Raw genomic sequence first — 2049 nt, 5'->3', positions numbered from 1 at the left:
TCCTCCCAATTCCCTCTGAAGTATGATGGTAGTTTCCGCAACTCCCCCTCTGAGAACCAACACATGGGAAACATTCTGAGTGCCAGGCACTTGGCTAAGGAGCACAGAATTGCACCTGAACAGCTGTGGTGCCCTGGTTAAGTGAAATTCAGGTACGTCTGCTTGAACAAGAGTCATGGGGCCACTGTTCTGTGTGGTGGAGAGACATGATGGGGAGGGGGGTGGGCCCGCATCCCCTGGGTGGGAATCAACACACTCCGTGTGAATTAACCATCGCCAGCCCTGGTTTGTCTCTGCCCGGAGGAGACATGCTGGCACCCACACAAAAGTAATTCCAATTTCCACATTGGCTTCTGCCTCCTAGCTTTACAGGGGTTGATCCTGTAATCTCAATTTAGTGTCTCAAATGCTCATGCCTTCCATTCATGCCCGGCCTGGCCAGGGAGGGTCGCTCTGGCACGTGGGCAGGTGTATTTTTGTGGGTCATTCTGAGTGAACATAGACAAGAATGGCGATGACTGCTCTTCACACTGCCTGGGCTGTTTCTTGTGGTGTGAGGGCCCATGTGTGTCTTGGCGAGTGTTTCCTGAGTGCATCAGGCGCAGGTCCTGAGATCACCCCCATGGACAAGACTCACAGCCGAGCAAGGCGTGACGCCCTCATGAGCCCCTGCTGCTTCCCGGTAGAGTGTGCAGGGCACCGTGGAGGGAGGGCTGGGCGGCGTCCGCGGGCAAACCCTGGCTAGGGAGGCCTCTCTCGGGGGTGCCGCTGAAAGCCATGCCTCTCGCAGTGCCTGGCAGAGTGCAGAGAGAGTGAGATGGGGCTCCGGGTGGCCTCGAGTGCAATGCCGGAGCTGGGGCTGCGTGAGGACAGTGAGGCAGAGATCACCCCCGATGGAAGAGAGTGTGGGGTCAGGAGGACCCCAGCTTCATATCTGATGGGCTGAGTTGAGGGAGCCTGGAGCCCCTTTCAGAGGAGAGGGTGACAGAGGAAAAACAGGTCTGGGCCAGGGAGCAGCACAGACTGGCTTAGACGTGCTGAGTGGGACGTGAACGGCCATGGCTGGGTGTGAATGCTGAAGCTTTTTCTCTGAAGGCATTTGTGGATTCAAAGACAGTGGCTGAGAAACTGTGAATCTGAGCATAAAGTAGCAAGGACCCTATAACTCAAATAATCTCATTTGTTATATTAATTTAAAATACATTAAAGATATATTTAGCATACAATATAATATATTAATACAAAATTGCAATATAAAATAAATGTTTAATGTAAAATAAAACATATTACATATATTTAAAATAATCTTATTTAGCATATTAATTAATGATAATTAAATATTTAAATAACAGTATTTGAAGCAAAATTATTCGCAGTGTACTTTGTAGCATAGCTAGAAATACAACAGGAGACCACGCAGGACGTAAGGATGCCGCGCGGAACTGCGGTTCTGAGGCTTTCTCAGGGTTCTGAAATAGAAAGATGTCCTGTGAATATAATGACTGAGCGATGTGTACTTAATTCCTAGGCTAATATATAAACATAATACAGAGAAAGGCTACAAAGTCAATTACAGACGTCACATAGAATACTAAAAATATACAGTTTACTCACAATCAAGCAGAACAAAGAACTCACTGAATTAGTTTTTAACAAACTTCAAAATGAGAGACTTAAACCCATCATAGCAATAATTATATCAAATCTAAACACACTAAGTGCTCAAAATGAAAGGTAAATATTATGAGACTGAATCAAAACAAAACAGGAACATTCTTCCTGGAAGAAGCAGGTTTAGCTGCAACGACGTGGGGAGGAGGAAGGTGAGAGGGTGAGACGGGCCCGGGAGCTCTTCTGAGTGTGCGAGAGCTGGCGGGGCTGTGCTGGCATCAGACAGTGTGGAGCTGAAGAGGACGAGTGTTATGAGACACCGAAAAAGGGAATTTTATCACGACAAATTTATTAAAGAGGCACAATATTTTCAACATATATTAACCTAACAGCAGAGATTGTCGTTAGATTACCTAAAGCAAAATGGACAGACATAGA

General features: G+C 46.7%; 1 annotated feature.

Moving 5' to 3' along the window:
• Positions 298-798: an enhancer, noted in NCBI's record as "H3K4me1 hESC enhancer chr22:49785269-49785769 (GRCh37/hg19 assembly coordinates)". NCBI's record gives its function as "activates a minimal SCP1, AML or CMV promoter by ChIP-STARR-seq in naive H9 embryonic stem cells {active_cell/tissue: H9 hESC(naive)}" and the evidence as "EXISTENCE:reporter gene assay evidence [ECO:0000049][PMID:30033119]".

The sequence above is a fragment of the Homo sapiens genome, chromosome 22, assembly GCF_000001405.40.
Source record: "Homo sapiens chromosome 22, GRCh38.p14 Primary Assembly".
In the NCBI taxonomy this organism is placed as follows: Eukaryota; Metazoa; Chordata; class Mammalia; order Primates; family Hominidae; genus Homo; species Homo sapiens.
The sequence above is the reverse complement of the archived record's forward strand: the minus strand, read 5'-3'. Positions and strand labels throughout refer to the sequence as shown.